This window comes from Homo sapiens, chromosome X, assembly GCF_000001405.40.
Source record: "Homo sapiens chromosome X, GRCh38.p14 Primary Assembly".
Lineage (NCBI taxonomy): Eukaryota > Metazoa > Chordata > Mammalia > Primates > Hominidae > Homo > Homo sapiens.
This window is the reverse complement of record NC_000023.11, coordinates 26,153,966-26,175,018: the sequence shown is the minus strand read 5'-3', so window position 1 is coordinate 26,175,018 and position 21,053 is coordinate 26,153,966. Positions and strand designations below refer to the sequence as shown.

Here is a 21,053-nt window from a genome sequence, read left to right as displayed (position 1 = left end):
GTTTTGAGTATTTTGTGCAATTCCATTTTCTCTACTCTTTAGCACATCAATTATACTTCTGTGTTTTTAGTTCTTTCAGTAGTTGCCGTAGAGTTTGAAATATGATCACAACTAATCCAAGTCCACATTCAAAACATACCCCACCACTTCACAAGTAGCACAAGTACCTTATAGAAGAATATTCCCAATACCTACTTCCTATCTCTTATAACACTGCTGTCATTTATTTTACTTGTTCATAAGGTATAATCATTGAATACATTATTGCTATTATTATTTTGAACAAACTGTTGTCACTTTGATCAACCAAGAATAAGAAAATGCTTTCTTTTACCATCATTTATTTTGTAACACTCTTCCTGCCTGCATGTAGATCTGAGTTTCTGATATATATAATTTTCCTTCTCTCTGACAAACTTCTTTTAACCTTTCTTGCAAGGCATGTCTACTGGTGATAATGTCCCTCAGGTTTTGATTTTTATTTGAGAGAGTTTTTTCTCCCCCTTCATTTTGAAGATTATTTTTACTGAATATAAAATTCTAGGCTTTTTTATTTTAAAAGTTTATGTCTTTAACTCAACTCTCTTCTGTCTCATTTTTCTGTTTACCCACCATTCTTGCATGTTGTGCACTTTTTCCATTATAGTCCTTAGCATATTAATCATAATTATTTTAAATTCCTGGTCTGATAATTCCAAAATGTCTGCCATATCTAAGTCTGGTTCTGATGATTGATCTATCTCTTCAAACTGTGTATTTTGTCTTTTACTTGTAATTTTTTTGTCAAAAACCAAACATAATATACTGGGTGAAAGGAGCAAAGGTCAGTAGGCCTTTAGTGTGAGTTTTCATATTTTTCTGGCCAGGAATGAGTCTGTGTTTACTGCTTGCTATAGCTGTAGGTGTTAGATTCCATCATTTCCTTGGATGCCCTTGTTTTTGTCTCCCCTGTTCTTCTTAAATAAGTCTTAGCGATGTGCAGTTCTTTCAGTTATAATCCTTGGTTCTTATATAGGAGCCTTGGTGATGTAGTGGTAATGTATGCAGTGAGGGGAAGCATTCTATGACCCTGTAGTTAAGTCTCAATCTTTTGATGAGACTGCCAGTTCACTAAGCTATGACTTCACAAGTACTTCAGGTTTTTTACCCCTTAGGGGAAACAGGAAGTCAAGAGGACCTGTAAATGAGTATTTCTCGTCCTCCACTTACAAGGATATAGAGGGGGCTGGAATGGAGACTTTTCCTCTTTTGAAGTTGTTTAGGCCCTAGTGAAACCCTTGTCAGTTAGACTCTGGTAAATAGGTTTATCTTTAAGCAGGCCTTGTTATAAGGAACAGGTTGCTCTGGGCACATTTCAAAATGGCTTTTTTCCTCCCCCTGCTGAAAGGACAAGGGCATTTTTATCTGATCTCCACTCTTCACTGTGAGAACCTATTAGGACCACTGGAGGAAAAACTCAAAAGAGTAAGAAGGCCCCCTAATATACTGGGCCCCAGTAGAGTTTTTAACTGTGAAGCTAGTCTACACTGAAGATTCAGTAACTTGTCAAACATAACTTACATTTTCCTATCCTGGTACCAGCTCTAGCAGTGGTTTCTGCTCCTGGGGTTCTGTTCCAGTGAGCTGTGGATTCTCTGTATCTTCTAGTCTGTCTTCCTTTTGTGGGGACAGCCATTTGCTCTGTGACCTCAGTTAACTGATTGGTCTAAGAAAGGTGGTTGATTTTCAGTTTGTTCAACTTTTTTCTGATTGGTAGGTTGGAAGTGACACATGTCTAAGCTCCTTACATGTTGGACTGGAAACTGAAAGTGGACAAGAAAATATCCACTGTCAAACTCGCTTTTTTTTTTTTTTTTTGCATAATTCATTTCCTCTTGTCTATAGGACTAAGAGTGTTTTTTAAGCTCTTGCTTAGAGACCAACCTCAGTCCTAACCAAAGCCTGCAATGTCATGCCACATTTCCCTCTTTACAGGCCATTCAAAACATGGCAGGTTTCTTCTTCAAGACAAGCAGGATAGCAAGAGCCTATCTGACAGCAAAATAGTGTCTTACATCGTATCTGTTATTAGATGAGTGTCATCTCTACTCTGACTTCTAATGTAATTGCTTGAGTGATATCCCATCACCTTTGTCATAATCTATTTTTTAGCATAAAATCATATGCCCCACCTACATTAAAGTTAGGAGTACACAAGTCATGACCACCAGAAGGTGGGACTTTCTGGGGACCCATAAGGTTTTTTTTCTGTTGCAGTCTGCCCTGTAGAACCCATTGTTTCCTGTCTCTACCTTATGCAAAATACATACATCCCTTCCAAAGATCCCCAAAACTCTGTTCTCATTACAGCATCAGCTCCAAATTCAAATTGCACTATCTAAATCAGGTCCATCTGTAGATGAAGAGGCTCTGGGGTAGTTGTTAAGTACAGCAGTTGGGCAAGATACACCTTTATATGTAGATTTCTGTAACAAAAGAAACAAGTTGTCTGTCAACACACCCAATGTACAATGATGAGATATGCATAGGATAACAGCTATCAACATGCTTATGTAAAAACAGGCAGAATTGGAGGTACAAAAAGTATCTAGAAAATAGCAGTTCTGAAATCCCAATGAACAAAGGTTGTCTGTTCCTTGATTAGATTTCAAAGCCTAAGAATAATTTTCTTGGATAGTGGCTCCATCCTGTGGGTTCTTGGTTGTACCTTCTGTTTCACCTTTCTTTTTTAATGGAAGGTAGCATATGTTTGCAGTTTAGTATGCAGAACAATTATTTACCAAACTGCGATCAAATACACTGAGTCAAGTACAGGGAACGCCTATCTTACTTCTGTCTGGAAAATTTTGCTTTAGTTTATCCAGGATTCAAGAATAATTGCTAGAGCCATTTTGCATTCTAAGTTTTAATCTCTTGACCCTGAGACACACCATTTGAGGCCCTGGTGCCAGTTCGTCACTCCCAGAGCCTTACCTCACTAACCACAGGGAGAAACCTAAACATCAGTACCACTGAAGAAATACTGTTTCTCAAGTACCCAAACAGACTTATCTCAAGACGCTTACACTTAATTGTTCTTGCCTTGATTCCCACCTTCTCATTCCTTCTTTTAAATCATCCCACCTGACTACCATTAGATGCCACCAACTTCTACTGCTCCTATAACAGAAATCCTAGGATCTCCAACAATAACATGGTGTTTTCCAAAAAGTGGATATTCAATTAATATTTAGAGAATAAATGAGCCAATTAGCATTGTTATATACTGAATGTTTGCGTCAGTCTAAAATCTGTGTGTTGAAATCCTAACTTCCAATATGATGGTATTAAGAGTCAAGGTCTTTGAATAGTAATTAGGCCATGAGGGTGGAGCCCTTGTGAATGGAATTAGTGCACTTATAAAAATACATGAGGAAGCTTGCTTTCTCTCTCTCTGCCATGTGAGGATACCACGAGAAGACAGCCATCTGCAAACCAGGGGCCTTGATCTGTCTATATTTATTAATATTTAATTTCTCCTGCATTCTTGAATAAGCTAAGTAAATTTATGTATGTATGTATGTATATGTAAATTTTAAAGAACAATACACTGAAAATTTAGAGAATCTAAAAGTTGAACATCTTCCACTTCATTTGTCTCCATTTCTTGATTCAAACAATTTTACTGTTATTTCATATTTCCAATGAAACACTTAATTGATTGCCACATTATCTTGTTTCAGATCATGAAGTAAAATAGAAGATTTTCCTTTTTTCTCAAAATAGCTTAGTTCCTACCCTTAGACCTAATACACAGCAATAAATGTATAATCCAAGTGACAATTCATAAACTTATATTCTGAAGCAATTTAAACCTTTGATTTAAAAAATAACATTTAGAAATTAACTGAAAAGAAAGAGAATTAAGAAAAAAGGAAAGAGTTAAGAAAGAACAAGATAATGGAAGGAAGGAAGGAAGGAAAATCTTTGTTATTTGGTAAAACAAAATACAAAAATGATGCATGTACAGTGTGTTTCCTCCTGCCCCAAAATGGCCTCTACTACTTGAAAGTTGTTTGCTCTATTCAATTGGAAATAGAAGAACCTACCTCAGACTTTACTAGGGGTGTAAAAGGCTGTTGTACATGGCCCTGGAACATGCCCTGGCCATAATGATAGTGCCAATCCTGGCTGCAACACTGGCTTGGGCTCTCTTTTACTCATCTCAGAATGACTTTTCACACAGGAATAGAAAGAAACAGTGACATATCATTGGCCTTAGACAAAAATTTTAGGACCTTTATTCTTGCTGATTTAACCGTGAGCTCCTGGATACCACAGGAATTTATAGCATGTAGGATCACTACTGGGAACTTGCTGGTACTCCAGGTACCTTTCCTATGTAAAATTTCTGGTGATGAGCTTTCTGAAGTACCTACCGATGAAATGCTTTGTCCCAGCATATATATTTATCATATTTAGAAACTCTCAGACCTTCTCTTTAGTGGTGCAGGTGCTCTTCATGAAGGTCACACTAAGAAGAATCATCAACAATCTGCTCTTTGGCAACCCCTACCAGCACTCCAACTCCCATCATTGATGAGTTCCAATTTGCTGACAAGGGTATAGAGATGCTTCATAGAGTTAAAATCCGTTGAGTCAAAGCCAATGAGCAACTCCACATGTCAGAGGCTCTCCATTGGATTATGGAGATGTGGTCCTTATAATTTTTGCTGACATTTTTTAGAATGTGTGCTTTCATGATAAAAGTCTAATTTTATATTTGAACAAAGTAAACATATGCAGTTGTGCATAAACAAAGCCACCTCTTTGGTTAGAAGGTATTTGCATGAGTTTTCAGGGGCAGGTGGTGCTTGTGAAATGCTTGGATTTTCATCCTCGTGGCTGTTCACCCCTTCATCAGTCTTTGTACACAAAACATTTACAGCACTATTCATGGTGAATGGGGTGATCCGAGGGGCCTAGGGAGAGCTGTGTGTCCTAACAGCCAGCAAAGTCTGAAGAATACTCAGAAAAATAATCCTTCTACTGCAGTGGCCTATGGTTTTCCCCACCTTCCCTAGATTCTGGGTACCACCTCAGGCAAATATGTGAGACACAGCTGCCTGGTGTCTCTCAGGGCTGAAAGCAGAGGTAAGAATGTGTTAATCTTTATGTTCTGAAATTTGTGGTCACCTCAGTCTTCTCTCACGCAGGTCTTCATGTGGGATCCTTGTTTTTTGATCAAAGGCTCTCTGGTAATAACACCTTCCTGCAAGCTCTGAGCTTTTGCCCAACTGCATACCTTATAAAGAATAAGTCAGGGTCTCACTGTAGATGTGAAATAGGGAAGCTGCACCAAAGGCATAAAGCACAGGATAGGAGGACTGTCAGAGAAAAAAAACACACTGACCTATTCTTTCTCTTGACCAGTCAGACTTCTCTATGAATCCTGTGTTCAAAAAATATATATTTCTACAGGGAAGAGGCAGAACTGGAAGATTTTGTAAGCCCCTGATCTTTCCAAGTTGTATGTAACATTGCATACTCCAGTGCAGGGACCTTTATTTTTAACCTCAAATATAGTATAATAGTAAGAAATATCTACCAAATGTGTTAGTGATTTGGAGTTTATATGTACATACATATAATCTCAAAAGTTCCACACAAAATTACCTAGCTTATCTATGTGTGATTCATTCTGATATTTACTATTCTATTTTTAGTCCATTAGCTATACTTTATAAGATAATAAAGAATTCCAAGACTTACCTCTAAAGGAGTTTCATGTGTTAATTAGTATATCCTCTGGAGTCACAGTGCCTCAACAATGCAAACTTCTGTGCTCCATTATATAAACGCATGGTACTGTAACCTGTAGTCTAAAGTGTTGTCTCAGATTCCTATAGGAAAGCAGTAGAAATGAATGTTCCAAGACACACTGGGGAGAAACAAGGGCAGAATTTTTGAAAACCTTTTGTCCAACTGATCTTGTCATACATCTTCTATTGCAGACTGTAGAACAACCTCGACTTCAGGATACGCTCCTTCCCTCCACCACAAAGCATTTTTTGACCTAAAATTGGATCCTTAAAAAAGCATACATAAGTTGTCCCTTATCAAAACTAAAAATTGAGGGAGAGGTAGAGCAAGGTGGTGGAATAGAAAGCTTCACCAATTGTACCCCCTTCCCACAAGGACACAAAGTTAACAACAGTCTACACAGAAAAAACACGTTGTTAAGGACCAAAAATCAGGTGAGCACTCATAGTACCTGATTTTAACTTCACATCGCTGAAAGAGGCACTGAAGAGATAGCAAAAATAGTCCTGAATCATTGACACACCAGCTCTCGCCTACCCCTGGGCAGCAGTGGCATGGTGCAGAGAGCATCTCTCGGTGCTGGGGGAGGGGGAACACAGCAATTGCGAGGCATTGAACTCAGCTGTTCTGTTAGAGCAGAAAGGAAAACCAGGCCAAACTCAACTGACGCCCTCCCACAGAGGGAGCATTTAAACCAGCCCTAGCCAGAAGGGAATCACCATTCCCAGTGGTCCAAACTTGCGTGGAAACCTCGCCACAGAGGACTATAGCACTCTGGGTCTCCAGGTAAATTTGAAAGGCAGTCTAGGCCATAATGACTGCAAATCTTAGGTGAGTACTAGGGCTGAACTAGGCCCATAGACAGCGGATGGGGGGCACAAAACATACTCAGACATCAGCTGGGGCAGCCAAGGGAGTGCTGCCATTGCCCCTCACTTAAACCCAGGATGCATAGCTCACAGCTCCAAAAGAAACCCCTTCCCTCCACTTGAGGAGAGGAGAAGGAAGAGTGGGGAAGGCTTTGTCTTGCATCTTGGATACCAGCTCAGCCAAAGCCGAACAGGGCACTGGTGAGAGTTGTGAGGCCCCCGTTTCAAGCTTTAGCTCCCAGGTGACATTTCTAGACACACCCTGGGCCAGAAGGGAACCCGCTGCCTTGAAGGAAAGGACTCAGTCCTGGCAGCAATCGTCGCCTGATAACTGAAGAGCCCTGAAGCCCTGAATAACCAGTAGTAATACCCAGGTACTACATGGAGGGTCATGGTGAGCTTCTGACACTTGTGGGCTTCATGTTAGACTTGGAACCTTACCAGCTGTGCTGGGGAAAAGCTCCTTCTGCTTGAGAAAAGCAGAGGGAGAAGTAAAGGGAACTTTGTCTTGCACCTTAGGTACCAGCACCATCACAAGAGCGTGGAGCCCCAAGCAGGTTCTTGGGGTCCCCAGTTCCAGGACTTGGTTCTTGTACAGCATTTCTAGACCTGCCCTTGGCCAGACGGGAGACCACTGCTCTGAAGAGTCCCAGCTCAGGCAACGTTCACCACAAACTGACTTAAGAGTCTTTAGGCCTTAAGAGAACATCAGTGTTAGTCTGGTAGTACAGCTCATGGCCAGGGGTGGTGGTGGCTATGGGGTAAGGTTAATCTGCCTTTGTGAAGGGGACTGCTGAGTGGGAAGAACTGTGTCTTGTGGTTTGAATGCCAGCTCAGCCACAATACAATGGAATATGAAGTAGACTTCTAAGTTTTTGGCTCTAATCCCTGACTCCCAGAAAGCACTGCTGTACCCACATGGAGCCTGAGGCACCTTGCTGCCCTGAAAGGAAGGACACAGGCCTGGTTGGCTTTGTCACAGGCTGAATGTAGAACCCCAAGGCTTTGAGCAAACATGGGCAGTAGCCAGGGAATGGTTACACAGGCCTTGGGTGAGACCCAGCACTGTGCTGGCTTCAGGTCTGACCCAGTGAAATCATAGTGGTGGTGGCCACAGGGGCGCTTGTGTCACTCAACATGCAGCATTAGGTGGCTCAGAACAGAGAGAGAGAGAGACTCTGTATGTCTGTGACAAATTAAGGGAAGAGAACAAGAGTCTCTGCCTGGTAATCCAGAGAATTCTCTTGGATTGGGTCCAAGACCATCAAGGCGGTACCTCTATGAGTCTGCAACAATCACAAGGTTACTGGGCTTGGGATGCTCCATAAAGCAGAAACAGCTTATAAGAAACAGCTTGTAAGGAGACATTACAACTGATGCTGCAGAAATGGAAAGGATCGTTAGTGGCAGCTGTAAGCAACTATATGCCGATATATTACAAAATCTAGGAGAAATGGACAAATTTCTAGATACATACAACCTACCAAGTTTGATTCAGGAAGAAATTCAAAACCTGAACAGATAAATAACAAGTGACGAGATTAAAGACACAATAAAAAGTTTAGTTGCATGCAGTCCTTCATATAAATATTGAATCCAGTCATGTCAAGGAACATGTGTTTTAGACACAGAGATGTTGTTCTTTGACTTATGATGGGACTACATTCCAAAAAAATCCTAAGTGAAAAATATCAATTGAAAATGAATTTAATACCACTTACAATGGGGTTACATCCTGATAAACCCATTGTAAAACCAAAAAAGTCATAACTTGAACCTCATAAGTTGGAGACGATCTGTAAATATAATTTCTGCTCTTAAAATATACTTTGAAACTTTTTCTGGAGGGAGTATTTCAAGTTGGTTGAATAGACATAGCCTATACTTAACTTTTAATGTTTTCACCTAGTTATAAAAACAGCAAGTAAATCAGAGGCTAAATAGAGTCAGGCAAGAGGTTGAATAATATTAAAAAAACAACAACAGCAACAATAAAAACCTAGAGGATGTGTGTTCATTATTAGTATTGTGATGGTTAATTTTACATGTCAACTTGCCTGAGCCATGGAGTGCCCAAATATTTACTCAAACACATTATTCTGGGTGTTTCTGTAGGGCTATTTTTGGATGAAATTAACATTTGAATCAGTAGACTGGGTAAAGCATATTTCCTTCCCCAATATGTATGGGCCTCATTCAATCAGTTGAAGGCCTGAATGACAAAAACAATAACTTTTCCTTGAATATGAGAAAATTTCTCCCTCATTACTTCATTCAAGCTGGGTCATCAGTTGTTTCCTGACTTCCCACTTGAACAGGGGTGACAACTTTGGGGGATCCTTTCTGTCTTGGGATCACTGACCCTCAGTCCTTATTCAGAGTTCTCATATTGACTCCGTGTAGGGCCTGGGACCCCCTCTTCTGTTCTATCGTGGCTTCACTTTCTTACTAAGGAGCTCATCTCCCTTAGACCCAATGTAAAACATTGGCGAAGCCTCTCCCTGACAGTCCTGCTATGGGTTTTCAAATGCTGAAAGCCAGGGTGGGGGTTGGACATTATGTTGCCCCTTCTATTGGGGGAAGGAGTATGATCATCTTAGTCTTCACCAAGGGTCCTCAATTTGACTCCTAGAAGGACCTGCAGCTCCTCTGTTCTTTGACTTGAAGGCATCTCCTCATAGCAAGGCCCAGAACTCTCTGAGACCTAGTAGAGGGAAGGGAGGGCAGCCTTATTTGGCCATACCTGCCTGGAGTCTCCCAAGGCAGAAAGCTGTGGCAGGCGCTTTTGGGCCTCATGAGGGTTGGCCTCACCAGTCCTCGCTCAGATTCTTCATTTTGACTCGTGACAGTGCCCACAATTTCTCCCTTTCGTGGCCTGATACCATCCCCCTCAGAATAAGGCCCTCATTTCTCTGTCACCCTGAGGGGGAATTGAGGGGTGCCTCTGCTCTGCCTGACATTTATCCCTGAATCTGCCAGGCCTAACAGTAGGGGAGAGATTATGTGCTGCCTCCATTGTTATAGGAGGTTTCATGTTCTGCTCCTTCCTCATTGTCCTTGCCCTGACTCCTGGCTCGACCTGGTAATGTTCTCTATGATGAGATGGCCAGCCTCAGACCAAGTTCCTCACCACCTGGAGTCCCCAGACGTGGAAGTCAAAGTGACCTCGCTGGAGCTATTAGGGGATTCTGAGAACTAATAGCAGGAGAAAGACTCTATGGGACCCAACTGTTCAGGGGTTTGTGACTCCTTGACTTCTCAGCCAGGATCTCTGACTCCTCCCTCTAGTGACATGAGTCCTCCAGGGAGAGGAGTGAGTGGCTGACATATTCGGGTTATTCGTGCTGGGGATTTCGAGGGCTGAAATGGGTGGGGCTATGTGGGTTCCTGTCTCTTCTAGGTTGGTTGCTCCCCTCAGTCCTTGCTCAGGGTCCTCACAATGAACATTCCCAAGACCTAGAGGCCTGTCTGCTTATGTACAGCCTTTAATTCCCTAATACTACCAAGAAGGATGTAAGAGTTTCCTCATCTGAGCACGAAAGCCTTATGATCACCTACAGCTGACAGTACCTAAGGGATTCTGCGTTGTCTGTACTGTTATGATTTGAGTGGTTCCTTCCATCTTCATGGTCCTCAGCTTGACTGTTTGCATGACCTGGAATTTATCCCTGTGGTAATCTCAGGCTGACCCCTTACACCAGATGCCTTACCTCCTTGAGATGCCTTGAAAGGAAATGAGTGGGACTCATCATCTCAGAATTCCTGGGTTTGCCAGGGAGAGACATCAATGGCAGGGCTTCGTGTGGCTCCACCTGTTCTGGGAGGAGTACCGTCATCCCTGTTTAGGGTCAGCAGTGTGACTCCTATTAAACATCCTCTGCTGACTAGGGTTGCTCCCATTAGACTAAGACTCTCACTTCCTTGAGACCACTCCCAGAGGAACTGAGGGGGCACTTCAGCCTGAGAGTTCTGCCCTGGGCCTCCTAGGGCTGACATTAGGGTCAGGACACTGTGCATTCCCACTGTTCTGTGGTGAGTGGTCTCCTCTATCCTCCCTCAGCATCTTTACCTTGACTCCTACCTAATGAAATCTGAAACTCTACCCTCCACTGACTCAAGGCCTCACTCCTCAGACCAAGGCCATATCTTCCTGGAATCTCCCAGTTGGAAGTGAGGAACAGGCACATCTGGCCACAGTTATTGAGGATCCTCTGAAGAATAATAGCAGGGTCAGAATCCTACAAGATTCCACTGTTTTGGAGTCAGTGGCTCCCTCAGTTCTCACTCAGGTTTCTAACATTGATTTGGGGATGTGGAACTCCTTCCTCTGCTAATCTGAGTCTGCCAGCCTGAAGCCAAAGCTTTTCCTTTACTGAGAAACCAGAGGGGGAAGTCAGGGTGCTTCTCCTTGGCTACCCCAGTGTCCTCACCTTAAATCCAATCCAGGCTTGAGAGGACCTCCTTCGTGGGCAGAATCGGAGCTACTGCCATGAGATCAAAGCCTTTATCTCCCTGGGGCACCAGTAGAAGCCCTAAAGAAAATGAGGGGAAACCTCAACCAGATAGCCCTGCCTATGGCCACCCAAGGCAGAAAGCAAGATATAGCTTTAAGAGCCCCTGCTGTTCTGGGTGGATAATTCCTCATTTCTCATTCAGAGTCCTCATCTTGATCATTTTCAGAGGCTGAGATCCTCCTCCCAATAACCAGAGCACACCACCCTTAGACCAGGACTCTTATGTACCTGAGAACCTTGAGTAAATAGAGAAATTTTAGCTTACTGCTATAGCTTGGGCCTTCTAGATCTGAGAGTAGGCAGGGCCTGGTCTTTCTGTGACCCCGATATTCTGAGGCAGTGATCTCCAGAATCTTCATTTATGGGGGTTCTCATCATGCCTCCTTACTCTTTAACACTGCTGGGAAATGCCATACACCTGCAAACACTTGAGCAGGTTCCCTACTGCAAACCTTGCAGACAATGGCTCACTGTCCCAGGTTCTGTATGAGATAGGGAAGCTGTACCACAAGGCAGGAGGCCCAGGACAGGTGGTGGGCTGTCAGTGAAAAAAGCACCCTGATCTATTCCTTTGCTTCACCAGCCAGACTTAGCCTATTATGTACTTTGCTTTGAGGAGATTTAATTTCTATGGGGAAAGGGCAGAGCAGGATGATTTTGGGAGCTCCTGATCTTATTGGGTTATCTAATGTTGCATATGTAGATGATCATATTGTCACTGTGTATTATTTTTTTCTTTTCGTAATTCATACTACTCATTTTTTCAGCATTATGATTACTCTAGTTGTAGAATCCAAAGAAGTGCTTTGGGTACAGTGTCCTTTTAATGCTCTGGTAAGCATTTTGGGCAGTGAGAGGAAAAGTGGATTAAAAGACACAAAGTCTGGCTCAGGCTGAGAGGATTGGAAAAATATGGGCTCTAGATGAATCCAGACCAGAGATCTAATCCCAGCTCTGTCAATTACAAGCTTGTGAGCTTTTAGAAATTTGCAATTTCTTCATTTTGAAGTGAGTCTGCTAAACCCTATCTTGTAGGAATTTTGGGGTATAAGTACTGTCCATAAAACATATGGCATACTAAGTAGGAAATACTGAGTCTTTCATAAATGACAGTTACCATAATATATGTTTTTACACAAATTATTAATTTTTAATTTTCCTAACTATATATTAAGAAACAAAATTACCACATCTTGAAAATATTTGAGACAGTTTAAGCCTATGGAAGTTCTTTGAATTTAGCAGCCTTGTTTCAAAAAGGTTTTTAGTGAACTCATTCTGGCTTATATTGATCACTGCATTTCATGTGATTATTTTAAACCCAGAAAATACCACCCTCCAATCAGAGGGGTTTTTTGATGCAGTAGATAACATGGAATATGAAGTGCACTAGAACAAAACAAACTAACGGCAGTCTTAATAACCTAAATAAATCCAGGTATCCTTTATTTATATGAAAAGAAATAGGAAAACGAATTAGGCAAACCAAGAATTAAACAATTTTTACATTTCTGTTTTTCCTTTTCTTTCTCTTCATATTATGATGTCAACTATTTTACTGTGGAGTTCTTTAAGATTCATATCAAAGTCCCTTCTCTATTATCATGTTATCTAGTTCTGAATTATAAAGAAAATATGAATGGTGTATGATTTTGTTTTACTAATACCCAAACCGTAACTTTCAAATTGATTAAACGGCCATGAATGTGAGAGCTATGTTATTGATAAATGTATAATCTGAAGCAAAATAAACCTTCACTTAACAGGAACAATGTTGAAAATTGACAAGGAGGTAAAACATAAATCTACAAGTTACTCATGTATAACAAGACAAAAGAAATACATATCTTGTTCCCTCCAGCCTCTACTATACTGCACTACTTAGAAGGCTCACTACTCTCTTCTAACATAAAGCGAAAATTCTACTTCAGACCTCCCTAGAAATGGGAGGATCTGTAGGATATGGCCCCATAAGGTGCCCTGGCCAAGGGAACAGTGCCAGCCCTGCCTTAAGCTCTCAGTCTCAATGCTCTCTCTACCTCATCTGTCAAAGCGTCTTCATACAGATGTGGGTATAAACCGGGACTGGTGTTATTGATCTCGGCCAAAACACGCAGGACTCTCATCTTGGTGGTTTCAGCATAGGCTCGTGGACCCCACAGGAACTCATAGCATGGAGGATCACTGTTGCACACCTGCCGGTAAACCACGTACTTATCTTGCACCAAATCTTCAGTAATGATCTTCCGAGCATCCCCATAGATTGAATGCAGGATCCCATCATATATCCCCAACAGACCCAGGAACTTCCAGACCTCCTCTTCAGTGGCACGGTTGCCTCTCATGAAGATCAAACCCAGGATCGACATCAGGAGACCCGACTTCGGCAGCGCATTATCACCACTCAGACTTCCTTCATTGGAGAGACCCAGCTTGCTGACAAGGGTGTAGGACTCGCCGCTGGAATCCGTTTCTTTCAATTCAACGCCAAAGAACACCGTCAAATGTTCGGAGGTTCTCTTGAGGATCTCAGGGAAGCATGGCTTGTACTGTCTGCGGAGACGCTTCAGCATGTCTGCCTTCAAAATGGGCTCTTTCTTCTCAAACTTCTTCTGCAGGAATTGCACCATCTTGTTTGCCTTCCTTTTTATAGGATCTCCGTCTGTGGTTGTAAAGAACGCAGCTCTCTTGGAGGAGCTTAAACTTTCCTCATCTTGACCCTTGGCAGCCACATCAGATTTTGAGCCTGAAACATCTGCATCAGGCGAGCCAGTGGGTGAAGCTCCCTGAGACTCCTGAGGAACAGAGGCATCACGGGAGGTGCTTGGACTTTTCTCATTTTGACCCTTGGCAGCCTCATCAGATTTTGAGCATGAAATACCTGCATCAGGAGGGCCAATGGGTGAAGCTCCCTGAGACTCTTGAGAAACGGAGGCATCACGGGAGGTACTAGGACTTTTCTCATCTTGACCCATGGCAGCCACATCATATTTTGAGCATGAAGCACCTGCATCAGGATAGCCAGTGGGTGAAGCTCCCTGAGACTCCTGAGGAACGGAGGAACCAGAAGACCTACGACGAGCACCCTGACAAACAGCAGAAGAGGATGACGAAGAGCGAGACTCTTCTTGTTTCTCTGCAGTGGCCTGGGGACCTGTGAGACCTTGCGGCTGATCATGGGTCTCTCGGCGTTTCCCACGGGCACGGAGCTTACTCTTCTGACCCCGAGGCATGGTGGCTGTGGCCTATGACAGCAGGTAGGAGTGTGGGCATAAAGGTTGGCAAGGCTGGCACCTGGACGGGAGAGAGTGACATCATGTCAACACCTTCAGCAGAGAGCAACCATCTTGGCTTTAACCAGGGGCCCTTCTGGAGGTTTCATGAAGCAATTGCTCCAGGAACTCGCAGGACTCCTGTTCGCTTGGTCTGTTTGTCTCCTTCGAACTTAGGAGGAAGTTAAGAGTCAGTGTTAGACTATAGCATGACAGCCCATTTTGGGGCTTACTGAGGTGATAGCAGGGACTGGCAGTGGGGGCCCCTTTGTTCAGAGGTGGGGTCCTCTCCGTTTTTATTCTGGATCATCATAAAAATTGTTGTCAAGTCCCAGAGGCCCATTCCCCTCTGCCGCTCTGAAATTGACACTAGGAATTTTTACAGTACCAATGAGGAGGAAATAAAGAAGCGCTCCTGCCCAGCACTTCTTTCCGGGGACACCCAGACCGCCTAGGGCTGACAGCAGCGGAGGCATTTGAATGCACTTGCTGTTATATTGAGAATGACCCCCACGGTAATCAGACTCCTCACCCTGACTCTTCCCACCACTTGGAAATCACCCTCGCTGACCTGCTGCCATCTTCTTACAACCAGGGACCTACCTCTCTGACTCTCACGGGGACAAAGTGAGAACACACCTCTCTCTAGAGACCTGCCCGGACCCCCAGGCTGACATCAGGGGCGTAGTTTGGTGCAACCCGTGCTGCGGCATGGGCATGGAGTCCCCTCAGTCTTAAGCAGAGTCTTCTTTTTAGCTATGTAGTGCCTGAGATTTCTCTGTCTACTGACCTGAGTCCACCAGCCTTGGACCGAGGACTTCATGCTCTTCAACCCCACAGAAAAAGTGAACGGACTTTGGGCCTAACGGCCATGCTTGGGGACTCCTCAGTTACCATCTTAGGGGCAGGATGGGGCAGGGCTCTCTGGAGCTGCCTATTTTAGGAGGTAGGGGGTTGCAGTTGTTGGGGAATGTCCCCCGAGTTCTAGGTCAAGATACCCATAAGATACCTGAGAAGATCTGGGATGCCCTCTTCCGCTCACCTGACGCAGCACTTTTCAGACCAAGGCCTCCGGTGTGGACGCTTTTCTACGCGGAAGTCAGGAGGAACTACTTCCGGCCATGCCCACCTGGCCTTCCCAACATAACAGCAGGGGTGGGGCTCTGTCACTCTCCATGTGTTCTGTGGACTGGGTGGCCGCCGAAAAGCTCACATAAAATTCTTTCAGGGGCTCTTTGTGGACCCTTGGACTTCTCTGTCTGCTGAGCTGAGTCAGTCAACAGGAGACGGAGGATCTTATTCCCTGAGAGTCCTGAGTAGGAAGTACTGAGCTGGGAAGTAGTAGGAGCTGGGAAGCCATGCCAGGACCTTCCAAGACTGACAGTAGGGGTGGGGCTCTGTGGAACCCCCTCTCCCAGAATGGACTTTGCCCTCAGCTCTCATTCAGTGTCGTGGCTTCATTCTTGCGCCATGTTCCTTCCCTCTACTGACTTGAGGACACCCTCTCAGACTAGACTTCAACTTCCTGAGACTCCTCATGTGCAATTCACCTGGCCACTACTGTCTGGGGCCTCCTAGACCTAGCTGCAGCCAGTTAGTTATGCTGTGGAGTTAGGGAAAGGAGGAGACATGCTGAGCCCTCCTCTCTTCTGAAATGTGCAGCCTTTCAGCAGTCAATTAAGGTCCACCCACTGACTGCTGTCAGGCCTTGTGATTTTTCCCTTTTCTGATATGAATTCATCCCCTTCTCCCAACCATAGCCTTCAAAAATCAACAAGGAGAAAATAAGGGGACTCCTTATCATGGCAGTTGGTCTGTGCTTTCTTTTGGCTGACATCAGCATCATCAAATATTTCAGGAGTATATTAATGTTCTTATTACATGTGCTTCACTGTGACCCTTCTATTTTAGTATATGTTTCATATTCTATTACAGTGATCATTTAAAAAGTCAGCCCTCATTCGCTATAGAGGTTTTAGGTGGTTATTACTACAATGTCTGAACTCATATTGCTTTAACAAACTCAATTGTTTGTGTTGTTCTAATGGTTATTACCCCATGATTCCAGCATGTGGCGCCTGAGATGTTGCCTCAGATTCTTTAAATGAAGCTGTAGAAAATAATTGTCCCAGGCACGCATAAAGAAGCAAAGGCAGAACTTTAAAATAATTCCTGCAACTAATGCTGTCATCTGTTTCTTACTGCAGGCTATGGACTTGTTTTCACTTCAGGGCATGCCGCCATATAAGCACTGGTTCAACAGAGACTTAATGTCTCTCAGGGGGTTCTCATTCTGTTATTTTACTGATGTTTATGACATTGTTCTTTATTTTTTCTTTAGATTTCCCATGGTTAATTTTAGGCATGGGAAAGAAGCACTAGCTTGTTTGTCATCTTGGAAGCTGTAGATAAAAACTATATCTGTAAATAACCTAAGGAGAATGGATATCTTTGCAATATAGGCATACCTTATTTTATTACAATCTGATATATTACACTTTGCAGTTATTGTGTTTCCTTACAGATTGAAGCTTTGCGTCAACCTTGATTCAAGCAAGTCATTCAGTGCCATCTTTCCAACAGTATGTGCATATCAAAATATCAACATAATAGGAGCTTGGAAGAAATGGACTCTAACCCGTATGGATGATTTTGAGGGGTTCAGGACTTCAGTGGAGGAAGTAACTGCAGATGTGGTAGAATAGCAAGAGAATTAGAATTAGAAATGGTGCTTGTAGATGTGACTGAATTGCTGTAATCTCATGATAAAACTTGAATGGATGAGGAGTTGTTTCTTATGTATGAACTAATAAAGTAGTTTCTTGAGATTGAATCTACTCTTTGTGACAATGCTGTGAGCATTGTTGAAATGAAAACAAAATATTTTAAATATTACAAAAACTTAGTTGATAAAGCAGGTGCAGGTTTCAAGAGGATTGACTGTAGTTTTGAAAGATGTTCTACTGCGGGTAAAATGTTATCAAACAGCATGGCATGCTACAGGGAATATTTTGTGAAAGGAAGAGTCAATCGATGTGGCAGACTTCATTTAATATGGTTTGGCTCTGTGTCCCCACCCAAATCTCATCTTGAATTGTAATATCCAAGTGTTGAGGGAGGAAAGTGATTGGATCATGGGGGCAGTTGCCCCCATGGTGTTCTTATGATAGTGAGTGAGTTCTCATGACACCTGATGGTTCTATAAGTGTCTGACATTTACCCTAAGTGCTCTTCTCTCTCCTGCCACCATCTGAAGAAGGTCCTTGCTTCCCCTTCACCTTCCACCATGATCATAAGTTTCTTGAGGCCTCCCCAGCCATGTGGAACTGTGAGTCAATTAAACCTCTTTTCTTTATAAATTACCCAGTCCCAGGTAGTATTTTACAGCCATGTGAGAAAAGACTAATACAATAAATTAGTACCAGGAGTTTGGGGCACTGCTATAAAGATACTTGAAAATGTGGAAGCAACATTGGAACTGGGTAACAGGCAGAGGTTGGAACAGTTTGGAGAGCTCAGAAGAAGACAGGAAGATGTGGGAACGTTTGGAACTTCCTAGAGACTTGTCGAATGGTTTTAACCAAAATGCTGATAGTCATGTGAACAATGAAGTCCAGGCTGAGGTGGTCTCAGAAGGAGATGAGGAACTTATTGGGAACTGGAACAAAGATCACTCTTGCTATGCTTTAGCAAAGCAACTGGCAGCATTTTGCCTCTGTGCTAGAGATCTGTGAAACTTTGAACCTGAGAGAGACGATTAGGGCATCTGGCTGAAGAAATTTCTAAGCAGCAAAGTGTTCAAGATGGGATAGAGCATAAAAGCTTGAAAAATTTGTAGCCTGATGATGCAATAGAAAAGAAAAACCCACTTTCTGGGAAGAAATTCAAGCCGGCTGCAGAAATTTGCACAAGTAATAAGAAGCCAAATGTTAATTGCCAAGACAATGGGGAAAATTTTTCCAGGGCATTTAGGAGACCTTTGTGGCAGCCCCTCCTATCACAGGCCCAGAGGGCTAAAAGGTAAAAATTGGTTTCATGGGCGGGCCCCAGGACCCCTCTATGCAGCCTCCGGACTCATTTTCCTGTCTCCCAGCTGCCCCTGCTCCAGTCATGGCTAAAAGGGGCCAAGGTACAGCTCGGGCCATTGCTTCAGAGGGTGCAAGCCCCAGGCCTTGGCAGCTTCCATGTGGTGTTGGCCCTGTGGGTGCACTGAAGGCAAGAAATGAGGTTTGGGAACCTCCACCTAGATTTCAGAAGATGCATGGAAATGCCTGGGTGTCCAGGCAGAAGTTTGCTACAGGAGTGGAACCCTCATGTAGAACCATTGCTAGGGCAATGCGGAAGGGAAATGTGGGGTTGGGTCCCCCACACAGAGTCCCTACTGGGCACTGCCTAATGGAGCAGTGAGAAGAGGGCACCATCCACCAGACTCCAAAATGGTCGATCCACCAACAGCTTGCAGCATGTGCCTGGAAAAGCAGCAGGCCAAGGCCATGGGAGCCCAACCTTCCATCAGTGTGCCCCAGATGTGAGACGTGGAGTCAAAGGAGATCATTTTGAAACTTTAAGATTTAATGGCTGCCTCACTGGATTTCACACTTGCATGGAGCCTGTAGCCCCTTTGTTTTGGCCATTTGGAATGGAAGCATTTATCCAATGCCTGTACCCCTGTTGTATCTTGGAAGTAACTAACTTGCTTTTGATTTTACAGGCTCATACGTGGAAGGGACCTGCCTTGTATCAGATGAGACTTTGGACTTGGACTTTCAGGTTAATGCTGGAATTAGTTAAGGCTTTGGGGGACTGTTGGGAAGGCATGATTGCTTTTGAAATGTGAAAAGACATGAGATTTGGGAGGGGCTGGGGTGGAATGATATGGTTTGGCTCTGTGTCCCTACCCAAATCTCATCTTGAATTGTAATTCCTGTGTGTTGAGGGAAGGACCTGTAATCCCCATGTGTGGAGGGCAGGAGGTGATTGGATCATGGGGGTGGTTTCCCCCATGCTGTTCTCTTGATAATGAGTGAGTTCTCATGAGATCTGACGGTTTTATCAGCATCTGGCATTTCCCCTGCTTGCTCTTCTGTTTCCTGCCACCATGTGATGAAGGTCCTTGCTTCCCCTTCACCTTCCACCATGATTGTAAGTTTCCCGAGGCCTCCCCAGCCATGTGGAACTGTGAGTCAATTAAACCTCTTTCCTTTACAAATTATCCAGTCTCGGTTAGTATCTGTATAGCAGTGTGAGAATGGACTAAGAAAACATTGTTGCCTTATTTTGAGAAATTACCACAGCCACCTCAACCCTTGGCAATCATTACTCTTATTAATAGGCAGCCATCAACATTAAGGCATGATCCTCCACCAGCAAAAAAGGTTACAATTCACTGAAGGCTCAGATGATCATTAGCATTTTTTAGCAATAAAGTATTTTTAAAATTAAGGTATGTACACTTTTAAAAAATCATGTAATTGCAAACTTAATAGGCTACAGTATAGTGTGGACATAACTTTTTTATGGACCAGGAAACCAAAAAATTGTGACTCATTTATTGCAACATTCACTTCATTGTGGTGTCTGGATCTGAACCCACAATATTTCTGAGGTGTGCCTATATTCTGTTTTCCTGAATAAACATAGAATACTGCTGTATTTGGTACTTTTTCCCAACTGTATCAGTAAATTTTTATAATTGCCTCCATAAAGATCTTGTACATTTCAGTAAGGTTTCAACTTAAGTATGTTTTAGGTATTGTTGGTGTTGTGAATGGTATTTTTTTTCCATTTCATACCTCTTATTTATTTTGGTATTTTTATGTATGGCTTTTTATTGGCTACACATGCCAATCCAGATTTGTGGTATCATACCTCTGTGTGTTTTTCCAGACTTTATTGGGAATGCTTCTAATTTCAAAGTTACAAAGGTTTGGCAACAATTTACCATATGGAAATTTCATTCATATGTAAGTGTGCTAAAAGTTATTGCCATGTACTTGTCTTGAATTTGTATTAGTCATTGTTTAATGTTTGTGTGGACATAGTGGGTGTATATATTTATGGAGTACATGAGATGTTTTGATGGAGGCATGCAATGTGAAATAAGCATGTCATGGAGAATGGGGTATCAGTCCCCTCAAGCATATATCCTTTGTGTTACAAACAATCCAATTACAGTCTTTTAGTTATTTTAAAATACACAAATAAGTTATTATTGACTATAGTCACCTTGATGTGTGATAAAATAATATGTATTATTCATTTTTTCTAACTATGTTTTTGTGCCCATTAAACATCCCCACATCCCCACATCCCCACATCCCCACATCCCCACATCCCCACATCCCCTTCAACTCCCACTACCCTACCCAGACTCTGGTAATCATCCTTCTACTCCCCATGTCCATGAGTTCAATTGTTTCGATTGTGTTGAATTTTTATCAAAGGCTTCAACTCTGCTCCTGCACGTGATCAAATGATATAGGAAAAAAATGCCAAATATATAGGCCAATATATAGGGGAATGCCAATTAAAACCAGTATGAGATATCACCCCACACCTGTTAGAACTGGTTTTATAAAAAAGACAAGTGATAGCAA

At 42.9% G+C, this 21,053-nt stretch overlaps 1 protein-coding gene and 1 pseudogene across 1 annotated transcript, besides 1 other annotated feature; both read right to left on the bottom strand.

Moving 5' to 3' along the window:
* On the bottom strand, window positions 4,115-4,761 carry LOC100420245 (MAGE family member B3 pseudogene; annotated as a pseudogene).
* Window positions 12,609-14,418, bottom strand: MAGEB6B (MAGE family member B6B). The gene has a single exon (NM_001396029.1). It carries the CDS (start codon window positions 14,416-14,418, stop codon window positions 13,195-13,197), a length of 1,224 nt encoding a protein of 407 aa, NP_001382958.1. The 3' UTR covers window positions 12,609-13,194.
* Window positions 14,341-15,540: an enhancer, noted in NCBI's record as "MED14-independent group 3 enhancer chrX:26177596-26178795 (GRCh37/hg19 assembly coordinates)". NCBI's record gives its function as "activates an origin of replication core promoter dependent on BRD2, BRD4, P300/CBP and CDK7 cofactors, and independent of MED14, by STARR-seq in HCT116 cells {active_cell/tissue: HCT116}" and the evidence as "EXISTENCE:reporter gene assay evidence [ECO:0000049][PMID:35650434]".